This window comes from Homo sapiens, chromosome 7, assembly GCF_000001405.40.
Source record: "Homo sapiens chromosome 7, GRCh38.p14 Primary Assembly".
Taxonomy (NCBI): domain Eukaryota; kingdom Metazoa; phylum Chordata; class Mammalia; order Primates; family Hominidae; genus Homo; species Homo sapiens.
This window is the reverse complement of record NC_000007.14, coordinates 73532804-73557697: the sequence shown is the minus strand read 5'-3', so window position 1 is coordinate 73557697 and position 24894 is coordinate 73532804. Positions and strand designations below refer to the sequence as shown.

General features: G+C 49.0%; 1 protein-coding gene across 5 annotated transcripts, besides 3 other annotated features; it reads left to right on the top strand.

Moving 5' to 3' along the window:
- On the top strand, positions 8-21342 carry BCL7B (BAF chromatin remodeling complex subunit BCL7B). 5 transcript variants are annotated; one of them, NM_001301061.2, is made up of 7 exons: positions 8-211; positions 4029-4150; positions 5456-5531; positions 14054-14150; positions 17646-17816; positions 19685-19764; positions 20308-21342. In NM_001301061.2, the coding sequence occupies exons 1-7, from the start codon at positions 209-211 to the stop codon at positions 20398-20400; spliced, it is 642 nt and encodes a 213-aa protein (NP_001287990.1). In that variant the 5' UTR covers positions 8-208; the 3' UTR covers positions 20401-21342. The 5 variants fall into 5 exon arrangements, 4 of the variants coding, with proteins under 4 accessions (NP_001287990.1, NP_001698.2, XP_047276985.1 ...); NM_001707.4 differs by lacking the exon at positions 4029-4150; XM_047421029.1 differs by lacking the exon at positions 17646-17816.
- Positions 23-132: a silencer, noted in NCBI's record as "silent region_18252". NCBI's record gives its function as "represses an Ori minimal core promoter by ATAC-STARR-seq in GM12878 lymphoblastoid cells {active_cell/tissue: GM12878}" and the evidence as "EXISTENCE:reporter gene assay evidence [ECO:0000049][PMID:35858748]".
- Positions 153-202: a silencer, noted in NCBI's record as "silent region_18251". NCBI's record gives its function as "represses an Ori minimal core promoter by ATAC-STARR-seq in GM12878 lymphoblastoid cells {active_cell/tissue: GM12878}" and the evidence as "EXISTENCE:reporter gene assay evidence [ECO:0000049][PMID:35858748]".
- Positions 223-672: a silencer, noted in NCBI's record as "silent region_18250". NCBI's record gives its function as "represses an Ori minimal core promoter by ATAC-STARR-seq in GM12878 lymphoblastoid cells {active_cell/tissue: GM12878}" and the evidence as "EXISTENCE:reporter gene assay evidence [ECO:0000049][PMID:35858748]".

The window sequence follows — 24894 nt, the reverse complement described above, 5'->3', positions numbered from 1 at the left end:
GGAGGGGGCGACGGCCGCTGTGACGCTGCGGCGGCGGCGGGCGGGCGGCGGCGCGTGAGGCGCGCGATCCCCGGTGTCTTGGGAGCAGTGCCCCGGCCCCCGCCGCTCCCGCCGCCGCCATGTCGGGCCGGTCGGTCCGGGCGGAGACCCGCAGCCGGGCCAAGGACGACATCAAGAAGGTGATGGCGGCCATCGAGAAAGTGCGGAAATGGTGAGGGGCCGGAGCTTAGGGGGCTGGCGGGGGTCGCGGATCCAGGCCCTGAGGAGCGTGGGACTGGCGGGTCAGGTGGGAGCCGACCGGCCGGCGCTGGGGGAGGGGGGTGCGGGAGAAGGCGGGAGGAGGGCGCCGCTGGCGTCGGCGTGAGGTCAGAGGGCGCGCCGGCCGCGGCCAATCAGCGGTCCTCCCGGCTCGCGGGCCCGCCCACCTGCTGCGGCTGCTGCCGCGCGCCGCCTGGGAGGGGATTCCGGCTTCCGGCCCGGACTGGAGCTGCCTGGCGTCGGTGCCCGCGCCCGGCCCAGCCCGGGGCCCGCCCTCCCCTCTTCCTGGGCAGTGGCCCCGCCTGCGTTTCCAGGCTTCCTCTTGATAATAGCGAGTAGCCCTGGAGTGGTGTCAGCCCGCCAGGCTGAGCGCTCTGCGTATTCAGGCGTTGAAGTTGGGTGAGTTTCTGGGTTAGTCCATCTGTCAAGGGAGCAAGCCTGGTGTCATCCAGAGGGATACCCCTCCCTTTCCCCCAGTAACCGGCCCCTGCGCCGCGAGCTTGGTAGGCATTTTCTCTTGCTGCCCCGGCGGCTGTCAGGAGAGTCCTTTGCAAACTATGTACCAGCCTCCCTCTAATTTCCCTGCTTCTGCTCTTGTTCATTCCCCAGTCCGTTCATCATTTGCACTGTGTGATTTTATTTTTCTCACTTCCAAGTAGCAGAGTGGTCTTTTTAAAGTGCACATCCTTACTTGGGAGGCTGTGGTGGGAGGATTGCTGGGACCCAGGAGTTGGAGGCTGCAGTGAGCTATGATCGTGCCACGGCACTCCAGCCTGGGCTACGGAGAGAGACCCCGTGTCTAAAATGTTCATGGAAGATGCCGATTGAGCCCCTGTTTAGTATCCGGAACTCCGATACATACTATATCGGTGTGTATCGGAGTCATCACATTAAACTTTCACAGCCAACTTCGTCAGCTCTTTTGTATAGCCAATTACTACTAATAATTTAAAAACCCAGGTCTGGCTAGGTGAGGTGGCTCAGGCATGTAATCCCAGCACTTTGGGAGGCTGAGGTGGGCGGATCGCTTGAGGCCAGGAGTTTGAGACCAGCCTGGGCAACATAGTGAGACCCCGTCTCTACAGAAAATAAAAGTTCAAGTAGATGTTACCTCCCGCCAGGAAGCTTTCCTTAACTCCTCCCATCCCTTTACCTCCTTTAAGGTCGTTGGTACGTTGGACTTTATTTGTGTGTTTATCTGTCCATTTCCCCACAAGAGGGAAGTTCCTTCTCTTTTTTATGTCTGAGGGCTTCATATATAGTTGGGTTTCAGTATAAATATTAGTTTAACATACTCATGGTTTTCCTCGTCCACCTTTAATCCTCCGAGGTTTTGGTGAAACCTAAGAACAGGTACACCTTTCTCTTCTCCCCATTTTTGACCCCCCCGCCCCTAGCAGGCTAGGCTGAAGGGCCATCCCCTGTCACCTGGAACTCTGTACCAGCCTCCCTGTAAACTCTCTGCTTCTGCTCTTGCTCATTCCCCAGTCTGTTCATTTGCACTGAGTGATTTTATTTTTCTCTCTTCCGAGTAGCGGAGTGACCTTTTTAAAGTGCACAGCCTTATTTGGAAGGCTGTGGTGGGAGGATCGCTGGAGCCCAGGAGTTGAGGCTGCAGTGAACTATGATCATGCCATGGCACTCCAGCCTGGGCAACACAGTGAGACCCCATCTGTAAAAAAATATATAAAATGTGCATCTTATCCTAGCACCCCTAGTAATGCTTCAGTGGTTCCCTTCTTGCTTTTAGGATAAATACTGAAGAAGGCCCTCCTTCCTGCCTCACTTGGCTGGCTCTTTCCCAGGATGCCCGCTGTCTTACCAATGAAGTCACTCTGCTCTTCCTGCCGCCTGGCATTCTTCTTCCTCTCTCCTCTCCTCCCTCTTGCCGAGTTAACTCCTAGCTCAGCTCAAAAGTTGCTTCCTTAGGTTTACCACTTGAGATTCCCAATCTAGATCAAGTCTCCTTCATAGACCTTTCCACAGTTGTATTAGATGGACTCATAAGACATTTCCTATATTTGATTTCTTTTTTTTTGAGACAGAGTCTTGCTCTGTCACCCACGTTGGAGTGCAATGGTGCGATCTTGGCTCACGGCAACCTCTGCTTCCCGGGTTCAAGCAATTCTGCCTCAGCCTCCCGAGTAGCTGATTATAAGTGTACACCACCACACCCAGCTAATTTTTTGTATTTTTGTGGAGACCGGGTTTCACCATGTTGGCCAAGCTGGTCTTGAACTCCTGAATTCCAAGTGGTCCTCCCACCATGACCTCCCAAAGTGCTGGAATTACAGATGTGAGCCACTGTGCCTGGCCTCCTGTATTTGACTAATTAACCTACAAAAATGGCAATTTGATATGGTTGAACCTGATGATTAAGTGACTAATCTTGAATTGAGCTATTCATGTCTGTTTCCAGATATAAGACAGGGTCTGTGAGGGCAGGGACTGTGGATCTTGTTCCCTGCATCACCAGGGCCTAGCACAGCCTGTTGTATACTAATTGGTTGAATAAATGAGAAAATGGAGTGGTCTGTTCAGGAATTAATTTTAGTTATTTTCTAAGACTTTAATTCGCTCCTTCTGTTACATCACAGTCTCTTTACACTCCCAGTATGTCATCTGTTTTTTTTTTTTTTTTTTGAGACCCAGTCTTGCCTGTCACCCAGGCTGGAGTGCAGTGGCGTGGTCTTGGCTCACTGCAGTGTCCGCCTCTGGGGTTCAAGCAGTTCTTCCGCCTCAGCCTCCTGAGTAGTCGGGACTACAGGTGTGCGCCACCATGCCCGGCTAATTTTTGTATTTTTAGTGAGGACAGGATTTCACCATATTGCCCAGGCTGGTCTCGAACTCCTGGGCTCAAGTGATCCACCCACCTCAGCCTTCTAAAGTGCTGGGGTTGCAGGTGTGAGCCACCGTGCCCGGCCCTATTATGTCATCATTTGCTGAACAGCATCAACAACTACAACAGCAGTTGCTTTTTTTTTGCTTTTTCGTGACTTCATATTTGGACTTGACTCTTTGAGAAGTTGGCTCAGATCTGTGACAAAGCAGTTCCCTGCATTTGACCCTTGTTCCTACTGACAGCAAGTACCTCTTAAGGTATTGGTGGACCTTAAAATAAGCAAATTTGTTCTCTGCCTGCACGCTTAGGGAATAACCTTCTTGGAATGAAGGAGAGGCTGGGCACGGTGGCTCACACCTGTAATCCCAGCACTTCGAGAGGCTGAGGCAAGAGGATCGCTTGAGCCCAGGAGTTCAAGATCAACCTGGGCAACATGGTGAAACCCTATCCTTACTAAAAATACAAAAAATTAACTGGGCGTGGTGGCCTGTAGTCCCAGCTACTTGGGAGGCTGAGATGGGAGATTCACCTGAGCCTGGGATTTTGAGGCCGCAAGGAGTGGTGATCACGCCACTGCACTCCAGCCTGGGTGACGGAGACCCTATCTCAAAAAAAAAAAAAAAAAAAGTCTCCTTTGTTCTATCTCCTCCACACATTTGTTTGCAGACCTCGAAGGCACTCTGTGGGTAAGCTCAGAACAGTGGCATTCTAATCTGGTGTAGATAGTTGGGGGTCCTTAGTCATTTAGAGAGTGACCTTGTGCAAGGCTTATCCCTTTGCTTATTTCGTGAGCGTAGTGGACTGATAAACTCTGCCATTTTTACCCCTTTGGAACACAGCAAGAGACAGGATTTCTACAAAGCTTTGAACTTCAAAGTTGAAATTTAAAAATTTCTTTAGACTAGTTTTCTTTCTTTTTTTTTTTGAGACGGAATCTCGCTCTGTCACCCAGGCTGGAGTGCATTGGCGCAATCTCGGCTCACTGCAACCTCTGCCTCTCAGGTTCAAGCAATTCTCCTGCCTCAGCCTCCTGAGTAGCTGGGACTACAGGTGCGTGCCACCACACCCAGCTAATTTTTTGTATTTTTAGTAGAGACAGGGTTTCACCGTATTAGCTAGGATGGTCTCGATCTCTTGACCTCGTGATCCGCCCACTTTGGCCTCCCAAAGTGCTGGGATTACAGGTGTGAGCCAGCGCGCCTGGCCTAGTTTTCTTTTTCTTTATGCAGTCTTAGTAACCCAGAAAGGGAAAGGTTCCTAACATTTCACACCCACCAGGCCATACCCCCCAGCAGCAGGTGTCTCTCCTGAGATTGTTTGCCCCTTGGAAGGGTCTTTAAATGGACACAGGAGGCCAGGTGTGGTGGCTCATGCCTGTAATCCCAGCATTTTGGGAGGCCAAGGTGGGCAGACTGCTTGAGACCAAGAGTTCAAGACCAGCGCGGGCAACAAAGAGAGACCCCCCACCCCCACCCCACCACCCCAACCATCTCTACAAAAAATAAAAATTTGGCTGGGCGTGGTGGTGTGCGCCTCTAGTCCCAGCTACTCAGGAGGCTGAGGTGGAAGGATTGCTTGAGCCCAGGAGGTCAAGGCTGCAGTGAGTTATGATTGTGCCACTTCACTCCAGCCTGGGAGGCAGAACGAGACCCTGTCTCACTAAAACAAACAAAGAAAAGGAATGTAGTAATAGAACTCATATATTTGGTAAAGAGAAAAGCACTCAAAGTAACTCGCATGCAAGTAAAAAAGAATATGGTGCTGTGTGTGCTACCTTCCAGCCTTATGTCCCACATCCTTTTTTTTTTCTTTCTTTCTTTTGAGACAGGGTCTCTGTTGCCCAGGCTGGAGTGTGGTGGCGTGATCTCAGTTTACTGCAACCTCTGCCACCTGGGCTCAAGGGATCCTCCCACCTTAGCCTCCGGAGTAGCTGGGATTACAGGCACACGCCACCACGCCCAGCTACTTTTTGTTTTTTTTTTGTAGCGACAGAGTTTCACCATGTTGGCCGGGATGGTCTCGAACTCCTGACCTCAAGCGATCTGCCCACCTCAGTCTCCCAAAGTGTTGGGTTTACAGGCGTGAGCCGCTGCGCCTGGCCTGTATTTTTTTTTTAGAGATGAGGTCTCGCTAAATTGCCCAGGCTGTTCTCAACCTCCTAGGCTTGAGTGATCCTCCTGCCTCAGCCTCTCAAAGTGCTGGGATTTCAGGTGTGAGCTACCATACCCCACCAAGAGGAAGTTCAGAAGGATTCCAGATTGAAGGAATGATCTGCTGAGTAGTAGAAAAACACAAGTGATGAACAGAAAACACATTGCATTGTTTTATCCGTTCTAAGAAGTGTCTTTCTTTTAGGGAGAAGAAGTGGGTGACTGTGGGTGACACGTCCCTGAGGATATTTAAGTGGGTTCCTGTGACAGACAGCAAGGAGGTAAGTGTGGAAGAAAATCAAAAGATACCATTTTCTTTATTTCTTTATTTGATTGCCTCTTTTTTTTTTTTTTTGGGACGGAGTCTCGCTGTGTCACCCAGGCTGGAGTGCAGTGGCATGATCTTGGCTCACTGCAACCTCCACCTCCTGGGTTCAAGCAGTTCTCTGCCTCAGCCTCCCAAGTAGCTGGGGTTACAGGCATCTGCCACCACACCCAGCTGATTTTTGTATTTTTAGTAGAGACGGGGTTTCACCATGTTGGTCAGGCTGGTCTTGAACTCCTGACCTCGTGACCCACCTGCCTCAGCCTCCCAAAGTGCTGGGATTACAGGCGTGAGCCACTGCACCCGGCCTAATTGCCTTTTAATTAAAGGAATTTATTTGCCCAGAATTGAGTGGAAAATACTTCAAGGTACCCTGTTATTGGTCCATGCAAGGCCTCTCTTTATTATTTTCCTACTTTATTCCTTTCCCTTAACCCAAGCCTCTTTTCCAGGGCTTGACAAACTACAGCCCTGGCGTATTCCTTAGGTTTGTCAGTATAGTTCTATTAGAACATAACTGGCTGGGCGTGGTGGCTCACGCCTGTAATCCCAGCACTTTGGGAGGCCAAGGTGGGCGGATCACTTGAGGTCGGGAGTTCGAGACCAGCCTGGCCAACATAGTGCAACCCCTGTCTCTACTAAAAATACAAAAAAAGTAGCTAGGCCTGCTGGCAGGCACCTGTAATCCCAGCTACTCAGGAGGCTGAGGCAAGGAGAATCGCTTGAACCTGTAAGGCAGAGGTTGCAGTGAGCCAAGATCCCGCCACTGCACTCCAGCCTGGGCAACAGTGTGACACACCATCTCGAAAATAAGCAAACAAACAAAAAAAACCAAACACATAAGTATGCCCACTGATTTCCTTATTGTCTGTGGTGCTTTTGAATTACAGTGGCAGATTGAGTGGTTGCCATAAGGCCAAATGGCCCGTAAAACCTAAAATATTTATCATCTGACCCTTTAAGAAAAAGTTTGCTGATACTTGCTCTTATGCGATTAGTCCCCCACTGTATTGTGTGTATCATATGTATATACATCTTTCTAATTCTGGTGTAGACCTTTGTGCTTCATCTTTGTTGGATGTATTTGGATACCTGTATATTCTTTAAAAATACATAGCATTGTTTCATATGTGTATTTTTGTGTTTAAACAAAACTTAAATATGTGGGCCGGGCGTGGTGGCTCACGCCTGTAATCCCAGCACTTTGGGAGGCCGAGACGGGCGGATCACGAGGTCAGGAGATCGAGACCATCCTGGCTAACATGGTGAAACCCCGTCTCTACTAAAAGTACAAAAAATTAGCCGGGCATGGTGGTGGGCGCCTGTAGTCCCAGCTACTCGGGAGGCTGAGGCAGGAGAATGGTGTGAACCCAGGAGGCGGAGCTTGCAGTGAGCCGAGATCGCACCACTGCACTCCAGCCTGGGCGACAGAGTGAGACTCCATCTCAAAAAAACCAAACAAACAAACAAAAAAAAAACAAAAAAAAAATATGTACAGTATTTTGCCAGAACCTCTTTGTATTCTCTGTGGTTCAACTTTGGTTTTTTAATTTGGGGTTTTTTGCTTTTTTGTTTTTTTGAGACGGACTCTCGCTCTGTCGCCAGGCTGGAGTGCAATGGTGCAATTTCAGCTCACTACAACCTCTGCCTCCCAGGTTCAAGCAATTCTCCTGCCTCAGCCTCCTGAGCAGCTGGGATTACAGGCGCCTGCCACCACGCCTGGCTAATTTTTCTATTTTAAGTAGAGACGGGTTTCACCATGTTGGCCAGGTTGGTCCCAAACTCCTGACCTCAAGTAATCCGCCTGCCTTGGCCTCCCAAAGTGCTGGGATGACAGGCATGAACCACCGTGCCTGGCCCAACCTTGTTTTGAGAACCCTCCATGTATCTGTAAATATAAATAGAATTATTACCTTTGACTCATGCATTGCATTTTCTTATTTGCAGTGAGTACCTTTATCTACATATTTTCTGGGTGATAAATACCCAGATTGTTTCCAACTTTATTTTTTCTAATTGTTTTTTAAATTTTCAAATATAAAACACATACAGAGAAGTATATAAAACATAAATGTACAGTGTATGAATAAATATAAAGCTAACACTCTTGTGAGAACCACTCTGCAAAACACAGCTTTGCCAAGACCCCAGCAGACCTCTCTGCAGCTCTTCCCATCCTCTTCCTCCTGTCCCTCTAAAGGTAATGACTCTCCTACTTTTGCTTTTCTTACCACTTGTCTAGTCATTCATAAACAGTTTTTCCTTTATTATTATTTTTGAGATTTTTTTTCCAGAGACAAAATCTCACTATGTCACCGAAGCTGGAGTGCAGTGTCATGATCTCAGCTCACTGGAGCCTTGACCTCCCAGGCTCAAGCAATCCTCCCACCTCAGCCTCCTGAGAAGCTGGGACCACAGGCATATGCCATCATGCCCAGCTAATTTTTTTTCTTTCTTTTTTTTGTTTGTTTTGGAGAGATGGGAGTTTGCTATGTCAACCTAGGCTGATAGGTCTCAAATTCCTGGGATCAAATGATCTTCCCACCTCGGCCTCCCAAAGTGGTGGGATTTTAGGCATGAGCCATCGTACCCACGCTTTTTCCTTTTTTAGAGATGGTGGGGGGTCTCATTGTTGCCCAGGCTGGATTTGAACTTTTGGGCTCAAGGGATCTTATCTCAGCCTCCCAAATAGCTGGGATTACAGGCATGTGCCACTGCACCAGCCTCTAACATTTTGAGTGTTATGGAAACAGCATGATAAAGTATCTATTTTCGTGTGTCTTGTTTCTTTTGCTCAGCATTATGTTTGTAAAATGCATCCATGTTGTCCTTGGAGTTACCCATTCCTTTCCATTGCTCTCTCTGCTGTATTTTGCTGCATATTCATCACATGGCTAAGTGTAGTTTATTTTTCTGGTTCTCCTGTAGATATTGAGGTTGTCCACAGTTAGGGCCAATAGGAACAATGCCCCTGTGAGCATTCTTGTTCAGAATCCACATCAACATGTACATGAGTTTTCCTAGGATATATTCTTGGAAGGGAAGTGGCTGGGTCTTAGGGTATGTATGTTTTGACCTATATTAGCTGATGCTAAACTATTTGCTGAAATGGTAGTTGTACCAATTTATATTCCCACCAGAAACAGGAGTTTTGTTTTTTGGAGTTTTTTTTGTTTGTTTGTTTGTTTTTTTGAGACGGAATTTCGCTTCTCTTGACTAGGCTGGAGTGCAGTGGCGCAATCTCGGCTCACTGCAGCCTCTGCCTCCTGGTTTCAAGCGATTCTCCTGCCTCAGCCTCCCAAGTAGCTGGGATTACAGGCATGCGCCACCACATCTGGCTAATTTTGTATTTTTAGTAGAGACTAGGGTTCTCCATGTTGGTCAGGCTGGTCTTCAACTCCCGATCTCAGGTGATCCGCCCGCCTCGGCTTGCCAAAGTGTTGGGATTACAGGCGTGAGCCACTGTGCCCGGCCTGCTCCTTTTTTTATTATTATTATTATTTTGTAAGACACGGTTTCAATCTGTCGCCCAGGCTGGAATGCAGTGATGTAATCTCGGTTTACTTCTACTTTTGTCTCCTGGGCTCCAGTGATCCTCCCACCTCAGCCTCCTGAGTAGCTGGGACTACAGTCACATGCCACCACATCCAGCTAATTTTTGTTGTTGTTGTTTCCTTATTTTGTTTTGTTTTTTCGAGACAGAGTCTCACTCTGTTGCTCAGTCTGGAGTACAGTGGTGCGATCTAAGCTCACTGCAACCTCTGCCTCCCGGGTTCAAGCAATTCTCCTGCCTCAGCCTCCAGAGTAGTTGGGATTACAGGCACACACCACCAGGCCCGGCTAATTTCTGTATTTTTAGTAGAGACAGGGTTTTACCATGTTGGCCAGGATGGTCTTGATCTCCTGAGCTCGTGTTCTGCCCACCTCCGCCTTCCGAAGTGCTGGGATTACAGGCGTGAGCCACTGCGCCCAGGCTCGCCTAAAATTTCATGCACCTACATTTTTTTTTTTGAGACAGGGTGTCACTCTGAGGCTGGAGTGCAGTGACGTAATCTTGGCTCACTGCAGCCTCCGCCTCCTGGGTGCAAGCAGTTCTGGTGCCTAGCCTCCCAGTAGCTGAAACTACAGGTGCATGCTGCCACACCCAGCCTAATTTTTGTATTTTTTGGTAGAGACGGGGTTTCATGATGTTGGCCAGGCTGGTGTTGAACTCCTGACCTCAAGTGATTTGCCCATCTAGGCCTCCCAAAGTGCTGGGGTAACAGGTGTGAACCACTGTGCTCAGCCTCATGCACCGACTTCTTACTGTTTTCTCCTACATTTGTTTTTCTTTTTGCTAGAATACATCCTTCAAGAGTTTTGTCAAAGAGAGCTTCTGTGGGGAAAACTTTCTGAAAATATCTTTGTTTCACTTTCATGTTGAAAATTGATGATTTTACCTGTATATGAAATTCTAGGTTCAAAATTATTTTCTTTCAGCACTTTGAAGCTATTACTGAATTGTACATCCAGTGTCGCTGTTAAGAAATGTGATGTTATTCCCATGCTTGAGTCTTTGTAGGTGATCTACTTGGCTTCCTGGAAACTTTAGCATTTCTTCTATATTTGATCTCCTAGGAATTCCCTCAAAATATCCTGTAATATTTCTTTTCCTTTTTTTTTGAGACTGTCTCACTCCATAGCTCATGCTGGAGTACAGTGGTGCAATGATGGTTCACTGTAGCCTCAAATTCCTGAGCTCAAGAAATAGTTATGTCTCCACCTCCCAAGTAACGGGGACTACAGGCACGTGCCACCACGCCTGGCAAACTTTTAAATTATTTGTAGAGACAGGGTCTTGCTGTATTTCCCAGGCTGGTCTCAAACTCCTGGGCTCAAGCGATCCTTCTGTCTTGGCCTCCCAAAGTGCTGGGATCACAGGTGTGAGCCACTGCACCCACGCAGCTGCTTGCTTGCTTGCTTTTTTTTTTGAGATGGAGTTTTGCTCTTGTTGCCCAGGCTGGAGTGCAATGGCACAATCTCAGCTCACCGCAACCTCCACCTACCAGGTTCAAGTGATTCTTCTGCCTCAGCCTCGCGAGTAGCGCTTGCCTCACCATGCCCAGCTACTTTTGTATTTTTAGTAGAGATGGGGTTTCTCCGTGTTGTCAGGCTGGTCTTGAACTCCTGACCTTAGGTGATCCGCCCGCCTTGGCCTCCCAAAGTGCTGGGATTACAGGCGTGAGCCACCACGCCTGGCCAACTGCTTTATTTCTTAACTTTTCTCTCATTCATTTCATTTCTTGTCTTTCCTGGTGCATTCTGAGTTTCTCAACGCAGTTTTTGCTCATTAATCTTTTATTTAGCTGTATGTATTTCAATTAACCTCATTCACTTAATTTTTATTTGAGCAATTGTATTTTTCATAACAAATTGCCTCAATTGGTTCTTCCTCAAAACGACTTTTTTTTTTTTTGAGACAGAGTCTCGCTGTGTCACCCAGGCTGGAGTGCAGTGGCATGATCTCATCTCACTGCAGCCTCCACTTTGCAGGTTCAAATGATTCTACTGCCTCAGCCTCCTGAGTAGCTGGGATTACAGGCATGTGCCACCATGCCCAGCTAATTTTTTTCTATTTTTAGTAGAGACAGGTTTCACCATATTGGCTAGGCTGGTCTCGAACTCCTGACCTCAAGTGATCTGCCTACCTTGGCCTCCCAAAAAGTGCTGTGATTACAGGCTGTGAGTCACTGCCCCTGGCTAAAACAACTTTTCAATATTATCCTTATCTTTCTGAGCAAATCCATGTTTAATTTCAGTTATTCTGCTCCTTCTGGTACAGACTGTTCTGTTTATCAGGGTGCCTGTGTTCCTCCAATCTCTGGTGAGTTTTATGCGTGCACTCACCTTTTATTCCCTTGGGACTCTCAATTGCATTGGCTGGTAATGTGTAACTACGAGGAGGACGGAAGCCTGATCCGTAGTTTTTCTTTCTTTTTTTTTTTTTTTTTTGAGATGGAGTCTCGCTCTGTCACCCAGGCTCGAGTGCAGTGGCACGATCTTGGCTCACTGCAAGCTCTGCCTCCTGGGTTCACGCCATTCTCCTGCCTCAGCCTCCCAAGTAGCTGGGACTACAGGCACCCGCCACCACGCTCAGCTAATTTTTTTGTATTTTTAGTGGAGGCGGGTGAAAACCGTGTTAGCCAGGATGGTCTCAATCTCCTGACCTCGTGATCGGCCCACCTCGGCCTCCCACAGTGCTGGGATTACAGGCGTGAGCCACCGCGCCCGGCCAGTTTTCCTTTCTGTAAATGAATTTAGGAGGTTGAGGTTAGCCTCAGGGTTCAGCCTCTCCCTTTTGCTCTCTGCTGTCCTCTCTGGCTCCAGGGAACCTCCTAGCACCAACTGTATGGACTCTGCCTTTATCTGAGAGCAGCCATCCCAAGAAGTTCTAGGATGCCAAACTCATGGAGTTGATGGGGCGTGGTTCTGGAGCAACTGTTTATTCCCCCATCCAGCCTGGCTCTGGCCATTACCCACAGGGGTCAAAGGTCAAGCAGTTAAATCTCTTGGGCATTGTGTATAGACAGGAGTAGATGCTGCTAGAAAACCCCCTTTCCTTGGCCGAGTGCGATGGCTCACGCCTGTAATCCCAGCACTTTGGGAGGCTGAGGCGGGCGGATTGAGACCATCCTGGAGCCAGGAGATCGAGACCATCCTGGCTAACATGGTGAAACCCCATCTCTACTAAAAAATACAAAAAATTAGCTGGGCATGGTAGTGGGCGCCTGTAGTCCCAGCTACTCGGGAGGCTGAGGCAAGAGAATGGCGTGAACCTGGGAGGTGGAGCTTGCAGTGAGCCGAGATTGTGCCATGGCACTCCAGCCTGGGTGACAGAGCAAGACTCTGTCTCAAAAAACAAACAAAAAATTGAGTTATTAACAAAAATTACGTTACTAATATAATGCATCTACCGGAAATGTATAAAAAGTGTGAACTGGTAAATTTGAGGCTACTCAGATTTAAACTTTTGGCTTTTGGGATGCTCTCATTTTCATATGCTTGGATTTACTCTGGGCTTTTTTTTTTTTGAGTTAGGGTCTAACTGTGTTGCCCAGGTTGGAGTGCACAGTCATAGCTCACTGCAGCCTCAAACTTTCAGGCTCAAGCGATCCTCCCACCTCAGCCTTCTCAGTAGCTGGGACCACCAGCCTATGCCACCATACATGGCTCATTTTTTATTTTTTTGTAGAGATGGGGTCTTACTATGTTGCCCAGGCTGGTCTCAAACTCCTGGGCTCAAGGGATCCTCCCACCTCCGCCTCCTCAAGTGCTGGGATTACAGGCATGAGCCACTGTGCCTGGCCCTTGGGCTTTCTTGTTGCAAGCTGGTGCTTACCTGCCCACTGTGGTTGCCCTGCACTTATAACCTACATCTTTCTTGAAACAAATGTTATAGGTAAAAATAAACATGGGGTGATCATTTTGTTTTTTGGGTTTTTTTGTTTGTTTCTTTTTGAGATGGAGTTTCGCTCTTTCGCCCAGGCTGTTATGAAGTGGCAGAATCTTGGCTCACTGCAACTTCCACCCCCCAGGTTCAAGCGATTCTCCTGTCTCAGCCTCCAGAGTAGCTGGGATTACAGGCACATGCCACCATGCCAGGCTCATTTTTGTATTTTTATTTATTTATTTATTTATTTATTTTATTTTTTGTTTTATTTTATGTTTTTTTAGATGGAGTCTCGCACTGTAGCCCAGGCTGGAGTGCAGTAGTGCCATCTTGGTTCACTGCAACCTCCACCTCAAGCAATTCTCCTGCCTCAGCCTCCCAAGTAGCTGGGATTACAGGCACATGCCACCACACTCGGCTGATTTTTGTATTTTTAGTAGAGATAGGGTTTCACAATGTTGGCCAGGCTGATCTTGAACTCCTGACCTCAGGTGATCCATGCGTCTTGGCCTCCCAAAGTGCTGGGATTACAGGCGTGAACCAGTGCGCCCGGCTGGGGTGGTCGTTTTGAATGGATGAGGATGACGGATCAGGAATAGAGCCAGCCTGGGCCCATTTGTCCTGTCACTGTCTGTGTTACATGAGGTTCCTTCTTCTCTCACTTTTTCCCCACTCTGCTACTGAAACAGGAATCTTTCTCAAATGAGTGTTTTGTATTTCTTGCCCATTCGTATAGAGAAGGGTTGCCTGGCGCAATTTGATCAGGGCAGGAGAGGGATACTATGGGATGTTCTAGTCGAAGTGTATGTATCTGCCTGTTGCTTATGATTCACAGTATTCCTGCTGGAAGGGTTCATTTTTCTGAGGCTTGAGGAGAAGTTGCTTGTCCAGGATTCTGTTCTTCCTTGGGTCCTTGGATTCTCACGCTGCTGTCGTTTTTCCTGTTCAGTCCTAATCCAGACCTCTGTGGTCTGTCACATAGCACCCTCCTCCCTCTCTGTGAGTCTCCTGCTTGGCTCTGTCATATTCCTCTTTTTTTCCTTTTCTAGAAAGAAAAGTCAAAATCGAACAGTTCAGCAGCCCGAGAACCTAATGGCTTTCCTTCTGATGCCTCAGCCAATTCCTCTCTCCTTCTTGAATTCCAGGGTGAGTTGCATCTCTGTGTCTTCCTTGCAGGAGAATGAAAACTTGGATGAATGCATTAATAAGAAGAATTGGCCAGGTGCAGTGACTCACACCTGTAACCTCAGCACTTTGGGAGTCTGAGGCGGGCAGATCACCTGAGGTCAGGAGTTCAAGACGAGCCTGGCCAATATGGTGAAACCCAGTCTCTACTAAAAATACAAAAAGTTAGCTGAGCGTGGTGGCGCGTGCCTGTAATCCCAGCTACTCGGGGGTCTGAGACAGGAGAATCGCTTAAACCCAGGAGGTGGAGGTTGCGGTGAGCCGAGATTGCGCCACTGCACTCCAGCCTGGGCTGCAGAGTGAGACTCCGTCTCAAAAAAAAAAAAAAAGAATTCTGTGTATCAATTCAGTGCCTGCTGTTTCGCTGGTATTTTGCGAGGCACTTGACCTAAATCTTTTCATTTAAACTTCACGATAACTCTGCAAGATAGGTAATGGTATTCTCATTTTCCAGTTAAGGAAACTGAGGCTCAGAGAGGTTAAGTTACGTGTCTAAAGTTACATAACTTGTAAGTGACAGACTCCATGTCAGGTCCTGGTTGTCCGAATCAGAAGCTTTTTTTTAGATTGTACTTCATTTTTTATTTTTTATTTTTTGTAGAGACAGAGTCTGGCTATGTTGTCCAGGCTGGTTGTGAACTCCTGGCCTCAAGCAGTCCCCCAGCCTTGACCTCCCAAGGTACAAGCATGAGCCACTGCACCTGGCCTAGACTGTATGTTTTATCATAGTCGCTTAGAGTAGGCTACCCAAAGCCGAAGCTTCTGCTTACCCACTGTTAGGACATGTTCTGCCTCCTAAACCAATCCCGCCGGATCATCACCGTAGTCATGATACTGCCTTTTACACCTACCTGCTAGGTACTGTCTACGAAGCACTTTTACTTTACTTTCTCATTTTTACCCATGTATCAGCCTGTGATATAAACCAGGCAGTTATTATCATCCCTATTTAAGGAAACTGATGCTCAGGGAGGAACAGTGTTTTGTCTAAGCTCAAAAGTGACAGTTTTATTCATTTGGTGACAAAATGCTACTTCCATTTTAGTGTGGGTATTAAAGGTCTTTATAGGAGTCAAGACTAGCATGAGTTTATGACTTTCTCTTCAAAACCAGATTGGAGCTAACCCAGCGTGTAGTTATTCCTTCCCCACCTCTTTCCCAGGCCCCACCAAGGTCAACCATGTGCTGTTGGAAAGGGAACACCAACGTGTGTTCAGTAGTCAGAAGGCTCTGGGAGACATATGAGGCTCCATTTCCTCAGTCTGGCCACCATCTCCTCCTTTTCATTTAGTAAACACTTAATGAACTCCCACTGTATGCAGGTACCGTGCGTTGCACTGGGGAGTCAAGGACAAGTGAGCCACAGAGCCTGTCCACAGAGGCTCATGGGAGGAAGCACGTGTGCGAAATGATAAATGCAGGCGTGCACAGGCTATCACAGGAGAGTAAGAGAGGGTGGGCATTTCCACCTATGCGAGCCAGGGAGGTAGGGCTCCGCGGAAGAAGTGATGTCGGGGCTGTGTTGGGAGGTCTGAGGCTTTCCAGGACAAGAGAAGGCAGCCTAGCCAAGGAACAGCTGGGCAGAAGCACCCATGCATGACGAAGCTCTTGGGTTAGGGTCCAGTCTGCCTGGAGCTGAGGATGCTTGTAGGAGAACAGTAGGCACTGAGGCCAGAGATCAGAAAGGACTTCCTATGTTGCGATAAGGCCAGCTCCTGCCTCTCCTAAGAAGTACTGGGTATGGCTGGGCGTGGTGGCTCATGCCTGTAATCCCAGCACTTTGGGAGGCTGAGGCAGGTGGATTACCTGAGGTCAGGAGTTCGAGACCAGCCTGACCAACATGGTGAAACCCCGTCTCTAATAAAAATACAAAATTACCCAGGCGTGGTGGCGCAAGCCTGTAATCCCAGCTACTCAAGAGGCTGAGGCAGGAGAATCAGTTGAACCCAGGAGGCAGAGGTTGTGGTGAGCTGAGATAGCACCATTGCACTCCAGCCTGGGCAACAAGAGCGAAACTCGGTCTCAAAAAAAAAAAAAAAAAAAGTACTGGGTATGACATTTCTCCCTTAGGCAGCAGTGGAGCGTCGAAGGGTTTAGAAAGGTCTCTCTGGCAGTGGTTTGCAGTTCAGTTTAAGGTACGTGAGACTGGAGGCAGGGCAGTGAGGTATGTGGCTGTTGCAGGAGGCCAGGCTGGAGATGATGAGGCTTGAACTGAAGCAGTAGGAGAGGAAGGAATGAGCACAAATGATACCAGAGCAGGAGGGGGAAACACTTTGGTGACTGGCTACTGTAGGTGCAGCGGAGGAATGCATTGGTGACTCTTACTTTTTTTCTTTTTTTTTAATTTTAATTTTTATTTTTTGAGACGGAGTCTCGCCATGTCACCCAGGCTACAGTGCAATGGCACGATCTCAGCTCACTGCAACCTCCACCTCCCGGGTTCAAGCGATTTTCCTGCCTCAGCCTCCCAAGTAACTGGGATTACAGGCGCGTGCTATCATGCCCGGCTAATTTTTGTATTTTCAGTAGAGACGGGGTTTCACCATGTTGGCCAGGCTGGTCTCAAACTTCTGACCTCAAGTGATCCGCCCACCTTGGCCTCCCAAAGTGCTGGGATTACAGGCGTGAGCCACTGCACTCGGCCTGGTAACTCTTTTTTTTTTTTTTTTTTTTTTTTTTGAGACAGAGTCTCGCTCTGTTGCTCAGGCTGGAGTGCAATGGCGCGATCTCGGCTCACTGCAAGCTCTGCCTTCTAGGTTCATGCCATTCTTCTGCCTCAGCCTCCTGAGTAGCTGGAACTACAGGTGCCCACCACCACAGCCGGCTAATTTTTTGTAATTTTAGTAGAGACGGGGTTTCACCGTGTTAGCCAGGATGGTCTCGATGTCCTGACCTTGTGATCTGCCCACCTCGGCCTCCCAAAGTGCTGGGATTACAGGCGTGAGCCACCGTGCCTGGCCTCGGCCTGGTAACTCTTAAGTTTTGCACCTTGATGGTGACTTTAAGCCTTCAGGCAGAACTCCCAGGTGCTAATCCGTCAGTCCGGCAGCCGAAGCCTGAGCTCACCACCTTCAGACACCACCAGCCTCCTTCAGATGCCCAAGGATGCCTGACAAATGTCATTTTCTACACATCTTATGATGTGAGAAGGATTGAGAAGTACTGACCAGAGACACAGCTACATCCCTCCCTTCCACAAGCTGCAATCAGTGGATAATAAAGAAGAGTTTAATAAGCATATCCTGACCTTCCTAAAGTGTAATGTTGCATAAACATAAAGATTCTGGCTGCCTCTGGTGCTTAGAATCTATGTCGTGTAGGCCGGGCACAATGATTATTATACTCAGTTGTATCCTTGGCTGCCTAAAGTGATGCCAGGCCCTTGGCTCTGTCCAGAGTTCCTCTTGAGGAAAATGACCACGCTCAGCTGCTGCCTTTGTTCTGTTTGGTTTTCAGACGAAAACAGCAACCAGAGTTCCGTGTCTGACGTCTATCAGCTTAAGGTGGACAGCAGCACCAACTCAAGCCCCAGCCCCCAGCAGAGTGAGTCCCTGAGCCCAGCACACACCTCCGACTTCCGCACGGATGACTCCCAGCCCCCAACGCTGGGCCAGGAGATCCTGGAGGGTGAGTCGTGGTTGGCCGAGGATGAGTTTCCTAGAAGGGCCTTGCTTTCTGCTCTTGTTGTGTCTCGTCTTTAGAGTAACAGGCTCGAGAGAGCACCTCAGAGCCAGGCAGCACCAAGCCCTTTCTCGATAGCTTAGGAATGATTATAGTTTCCCCTTTCACAGAGGGAAGGGAGAAAACAAGCATTAGAGTTGCGTGCCAGGCTGTGTGGAAGGAACTTGAGTATTTGACGCCTGCTATAATTCTCTCAAAAATCCTGTGAGGTGGCAGCTATTGTCTTCTTTTACAGATGAGGAAAATGGACATTCAAAGCTTAGAAAGGTTAAATTGGGCTGGGCATGGTGGCTCACACCTGTAATCCCAGCACTTTGGGAGGTCGAGGTGAGCGGGTCACTTGAGGCCAGGAGTTCAAGACCAGCCTGACCAACATGGCAAAACCGTCTCTACTAAAAACATAAAAAATTTAGTTGGGCGTGGTGGCATGTGCCTGTAATCCCAGCTACTCCGGAGGCTGAGGCAGAAGAATCACTTGAACCCAAGAAGCAGAGGTTACAGTGAGCTGAGATCACACCAGTGTATTCTTGCCTGGGCAACAGAGTGAGACTCCATCTCAAAAAAAAAAGACCTGGCGCGGTGGCTCACACCTGTAATCCCAGCACTTTGGGAGGCCGAAGTGGGTGGATCACCTGAGGTCAAGAGTTAGAGACCAGCCTGACCAACATGGTGAAACCCCATCTCTACTAAAAATACAAAAATTAGCCAGGCATGGTGGCGCAAGCCTGTAATCCCAGCTACTCGGGAGGCTGAGGCAGGAGAATCACTTAAACCCAGGAGGCAGAGGTTGCAGTGAGCCAAGATCGCACCAGGGCACTCCAGCCTGGCGACAGAGCTAGACTTCATCTCAAAAAAAAACAGAGAAAGGTTAAATCGCTTGTCTGAGATCACATAGCCAGTCTAGTAACTGTTGGAATGAATGTCACTTTAAGTCCTTCTATTTTCAGCATTTATGCTGTCTGCATTACATGCTAAATTTTTTTCTTTTCTTTTTTTTTTTTTTTTTTTTTTTAAAGAGATAGGGTCTTGCTCTGTTGCCCAGGCTAGAATGCAGTGGCTGAATCCTAGCTCACTGCAGTCTTGAACTCCTGGGGTCAAGTGATCCTCTTGCCTCAGACTCCGTAGTAGTAGGACTGTAAGCCTTTGCCACCATGCCTGGCTTTCTTTTAATTTTCTGTAGAAATGGAGTCTCACTATGTTGCCCAGGCTGGTCTTGAACTCCTGGGCTTCAAGTGATCCTCCCACCTCAGCCTCCAGAGTAGCTGGGATTATAGGTGTGAGCCACCATGCCCGACCCAGGTTTCTTGTTATAATATGGATATATAGATGTGTCTTAGGCCCTTGTTACCTTCTCCTGTGCTGTGACCTGTTAACAGCCAACTACAAAATGGAACTTGTTTCTCCATGGGAAATGCCAATTGTAGTTAATATTTATTGTGTTCTTACTATTTGGCATGTGCTGTTCTTAGCTCCTGTGTTTTATTACTTCATCTCGTCCTCATAGCAACTCTCAGAAAACTGGGAGATTGAGTTAGAGTTGTGATGTTTGGGCTAGAGGATGACAAGATGAGCTGCTTTGTCGGTTCCAGATATCTCCAGCCCAGCAGAGATGGCCCTCTGCAGTCTAGCCGTATTTTGCCCTTCCACCATTCTTGGCTGTGACCTGGTCCAGCTGGGCCCTGAATGAATGTTTGCTTCTCAGGCCAGTATTCTCCCCTCCTCACCAAGCCACCTCCACACAGCTCTAAGGAAGCTCCCCCAGGTCCAGGCCTCAGGGGAGCCCTGCCCTCAGGCCGACCCTACTGCCTTTTCAGAGCCCTCCCTGCCCTCCTCGGAAGTTGCTGATGAACCTCCTACCCTCACCAAGGAAGAACCAGTTCCACTAGAGACACAGGTAAGCAATCACTTTGAGTTTTCCAGTTTTTTGTTTTTTTGGTTTAAGGCAGGGTCTCGCTGTTGCCCAGACTAGAGTGCAGTGGTGCGATCCTGGCTCACTACAACCTCCACTGCCTCCTGGGTTCAAGCAATTCTCCTGTTTCAGCCTCCTGAGTAGCTGGGATTACAGGCGCCCACTACCACACCTGGCTAATTTTTGTATTTTTAGTAGAGATGGGGTTTCACTATGTTGGCCAGGCTAGTCTCGAACTCCTGAGCCCAAGTGATCCACCCATCTCAGCCTCCCAATGTGCTGGGATTATAGGTGTGAGCCACTGTGCCCGGCCAGGCTTCCCAGTTTCTAAGTCAAAAAACCAGGAAAGACTGTGGATGTGGGGTTGGATCTGCAGCGCCGGAAATGAGTCCCAGGGTTGTAGGCAGGGGAGGATGTTTGATCATCTGCTGGAAGGAGCAGAGTGGACATCCCATTATAATTCGGGTGGGTGGGAAGGTTCTGGTTGGGAGGGGTGGCCCTGGCATTCCATGCTCTGCCTGCTCCTAGGTCGTTGAGGAAGAGGAAGACTCAGGTGCCCCGCCCCTGAAGCGCTTCTGTGTGGACCAACCCACAGTGCCGCAGACGGCGTCAGAAAGCTAGCACCATCCCGGCCCTCCGCCTCCTGGCCCTGCCTCTATTTATTGCATTCTGGTTCTGGCCGCGCCGCGTTGCTGGGGTAAGGGCAAGCACTGGGGTCAAGAGCCTGCACACATGAGCCTTCCGGGCTGGAAGGCTGGCGTAGGACTTGGGGCTGTAGCATCATCTTCCTGACCCTGGCACCTGTGTCTACTTGCTCCCGAGAAGAGGAGCGCTCATGTCTTTTTTGCACCCCAAGTTGGCTGGAGCATCGGCCACCCCAAGATTCATCTGTGACCTCCAGGCAGCAGTCTCTGCTCCAGAATCTCTGGACGGAGCTGCTGGCAGCTTCTGCGAGAAGAGAGAGATGTGGAAGGCACCTTCTAGAAGAGAGCGTGCCTCAGGTTACTTGAACTTGAACGGAGACTGTAGACTCCCGGACTTTCCCCTAGGACTGGGGGCCCTGTAGGCTGCTGTTGGAGGACTGGGTAGAGACATTGGAGGGAAGGGAAGGGCTTTTCTCCACACAAGGGCAGAGAGTCCGTCTAGATTTCTTGCTGTCCTGCCAGCTCTGCCCATGCCTGAGGTGGTCCTACCTCTCACGGGCACCCTAGCTGCTGACAGCCCTTTGTGGCCGCCGTCCCCATCCCCTGCCCTCAGCACACACATCTGCACACACGCAGCTTTGTTCTCACCTCTACCTGTCATTCCAGCATCCCTGCCTCTTGTCACAAACTGCCCCAGCAAGAATTTGAGGTTCTGACAACAGTACCCATCCCCCACAGTACCCCTTCAGCTCAGTTTCTAGAAAGCTCCCTTTTCTTTGAAATCTGCATGTTGAATTGAACTTTGTGATTTTATTTTTTGTTTCAAAAAAGTTTAAGAAAATGGAAATGGGCAACAGTGAGTGAAGACATATTTTAGCACTGAATAGAATATTTTTAAAATTAAACTATTTGAAATATGTCCTGTTGGTATCTGAGTGCTTCCTTCTTGAAGGTTGCGGGCCGGGGTGGGGGTGGTGGCTGAGTGCTTGTGGGGTCACTGTGGGCTGGGCCTGCCCATCCTTTCACTCCCACAGTGTGGACTTCATGACAGTGATTTCTAGCCTCCCTTTGAAGCTGTCACGTAGTTCAAATTATGCTTCTCGCTGGGCGTGGTGGCTCATACTTCTTATCCCAGCACTTTGGGAGGCCGAGGCAGGAGGATCACTTGAGGCTAGGAGTTTGAGACCAGCCTGGGCAACACAGCAAGACCCTATCTCTATCTAAACAATATTTTTAAATTAAAACATAAAAACCAGGCCAGGCGCAGTGGCTCCCGCCTGTAATCTTAGCACTTTGGGAGGCTGAGGTGGGTGGATCATCTGAGCTCAGGAGTTCAAGACCAGCCTGACCAGCAAAATGAGACCCCATCTCTACTAAAAATACAAAAATTAGCCAGGCATGGTGGCAGGCGCCTTTAGTCCCAGCTACTTGGGAGGCTGAGACGAGCATTGCTCGAACCTGGGAGGTGGAGGTTGCAGTGAGCCAAGACTGCGCCACTGCGCTCCAGCCTGGGTGACGGAGCGAGACTCCATCTCAAAAAACAAAACCAAATTCCATCCCTGTGTACACCAAATGCAGCCCATGGATGTGTTTTCCACAGGTCCATGTAGTTCGGAGGGATTCATGAGTTCTTTTTTTCCCCCCTTGTGGTAAAATACACGTAACATAAAAGGTTTTTGTTTGTTTGTTTTTTGAGACAGAGTCTCACTCTGTCACCCAGCAGGCTGGAGTACAGTGGTGTGTTCTCAACTCACTGCAACCTCTGCCTCCCAAGTAGCTGGGATTACAGACGTGCACCACCACGTCTGACTAATTTTTGTAATTTTAGTAGAGGTGGGGTTTCACCATGTTGGCCAGGCTGGTTTCGAACCCCTTAGGCTCCCAAAGTGCTGGGATTACATGTGTGAGCCACTGCACCTGGCCAAGAGTTACTTTTGTCACCATTGTGAAGTGTGCATTTCAGTGGTACTGAGTACTGAGTACATTCACAGTGCTGGGCAGTCCTCACAGTCCAGCTCCGAACTTTTTTATTATCCCAAATGGAAACCTCATGTCCAGTTAGCATCATTCACCATTTCTTCCCCTCCCCTCGGGCCCTGGCAGCCACAGATCTGTTTATTTCCCGGAGTGATTCCCCTCATTTCTCACAGGGGCTCCAGGTGTCATGGATGAGACTATAATACAAGTTCTACTGTTCTATGTTTTGTTTTTGTTTTTTTTGAGACGGAGTCTCGCTCTGTCACCCAGGCTGGCAGTGGCGGGATCTCGGCTCACCGCAAGCTCCGCCACCCGGGTTCACACCATTCTCCTGCCTCAGCCTCCCGAGTAGCTGGGACTACAGGCGCCTGCCACCACGCCCAGCTAATTTTTTGTATTTTTAGTAGAGACGGGGTTTCACTGTGTTAGCCAGGATGGTCTCGATCTCCTGACCTCATGATCTGCCCGCCTCGGCCTCCCAAAGTGCTGTGATTACAGGCATGAGCCACCGCACCCGGCCCCTGTTTTATCTTTTCTTACAAAATATAAATAGGGCTGGGGCTGGGCACGGTGGCTCACGCCTGTAATCCCAGCTACTCGGGAGGCTGAGGCAAGAGAATGGTGTGAACCCAGGAGGCGGAGCTTGCGGTGAGCTGAGATCACGCCACTGCACTCCAGCCTGGGCGACAGAGCAAGACTCCATCTCAAAATATATATATATATATAAATATTTTTATATATATAGGGCTGGGCACAGTGGCCTGTAATCCCAGCACTTTGGAAGGCTAAGGCAGGAAGATTGCCTGAGCCTGGGAGTTAAGACGAGCCTGGGCAACATGGCAAGACCCTGTCTCATTAACAAATACAAAAATGTAGGCCGGGCGTGGTGGCTCACACCTGTAATCCCAGCACTTTGGGAGGCTGAGGCGGGCGGATCACGAGGTCATGAGTTCGAGATCAGCCTGACCAGCGTGGTGAAACCCCCATCTCTACCAAAGATACAAAAAATTAGCCGGGCGTTCTGGCACATGTCTGTAATCCCAGCTACTTGGGAGGCTGAGGTACAAGAATCTCTTGAACCTGGGAGGCGGAGGTTGCAGGGAGCCCGATTGCGCCATTACACTCCAGCCCGGGCGACAGGGTGAAACTCTGTCTCTAAAAAAATAAGTAATAATCTTTTAAAAATGTAACAGCCAGGTACAGTGGCTCATGCCTGTAATCCCAGCACTTTGGGAAGATCGCTTGAGCCCAGAAGTTCGAGACCAGCCTGGGCAACATGGTGAAACCTCATCTCTAAAACAAAAACAAAAATTAGCTGGGCATGTTGGTGCATGCCTGTAGCATCCCCTGCTCGACGGCTGAGGTGGGCGGATCTCTTGAGCCCAGGAGGTCAAGGCTGTCGTGAGCCGTGATCATGACACTGCACTCTAGCCTGGGCGACAGAGGGAGTCTCAAAAAAAGAGACATATAAAATCAAATTGTCAAATGAATTTTACAGATAATGTGATTGTATGTGGTACACAAAATACGTATTTTTTTTCTGAGACAGAGTGTTCTCTGTCACCCAGGCTAGAGTGCAGTGGCGTGATCTTGGCTCACTGCAACCTCCGCCTCCCAGGTTCAAGCAATTCTCCTGCCTCGGCCTCCTGAGTAGCCGGGATAACAGGTGCCTGCCACTGTGCCTGGCTAATTTTTGTATTTTTAGTACAGACGACGTTTCACCACCTTAGCCAGGCTGTTCTCGAACTCCCAATCTCGTTATCCACCCACCTCAGCCTCCCAAAGTGCTGGGATTACAGTCGTGAGCCACTGCGCTTGACCCTTTTTTTTTTTGTAAAGACAAGGTCTCACTATGTTGCCCAGGCTGGACCCACCTCGGTTTCCATTTCCCAAAGTGCTGGGATTACAGCCGTGAGCCATCATGCCTGGCCAACATAACTGTTTTAATGTGTTTAAACAAAGGAAAGTATAATGGGCTGGGTGCAGTAGCTCATGCCTGTAATCCCAACACTTTGGGAGGCTGAGGAGGAGGACTGCTTGAGTCCAGGAGTTTAAGACCAGCCTCAGCAACAAAGGGAGACTCCATCTCTACAAATAATTTTTTTTTTTTTTTAGTTAGCTGAGTGTGGTGGTGCACACCTCTGGACCCATGTACTCTGGAGGCTGAAGCAGGAGGATTGCCTGAGCCCTGGAGGTCAAGGCTGCAGTGAGCCATGATTGCACCACTGCGCTCCGGCCTGGGCAACAGAAAGAGACCTTGTCTTATTAAAAAATAAAAATATTGGCCAGGCGTGGTGGCTCATGTCTGTAATCCCAGCACTTTGGGAGACTGAAGCAGATGGATCACTTGAGGCCTGGAGTTCGAGACCAGCCTGGCCAACATGGTGAAACCCCATCTACTAAAAATACAAAAATCAGCTGGGTGTGGTGGCACACACCTGTAATCCCAGCTTGAGCCCTGGAGGTGGAGGTTGCAGTGAGCCGAGATCTTGCC

Bases quoted from the DNA above. Each gene is read 5' to 3' on its own strand.
- BCL7B (NM_001301061.2), top strand. The intron at 5,532-14,053 runs GTAAGTGTGGAA...TTCCTTTTCTAG, and splicing joins CTGTGACAGACAGCAAGGAG to AAAGAAAAGTCAAAATCGAA. The intron at 19,765-20,307 runs GTAAGCAATCAC...GCCTGCTCCTAG, and splicing joins CAGTTCCACTAGAGACACAG to GTCGTTGAGGAAGAGGAAGA.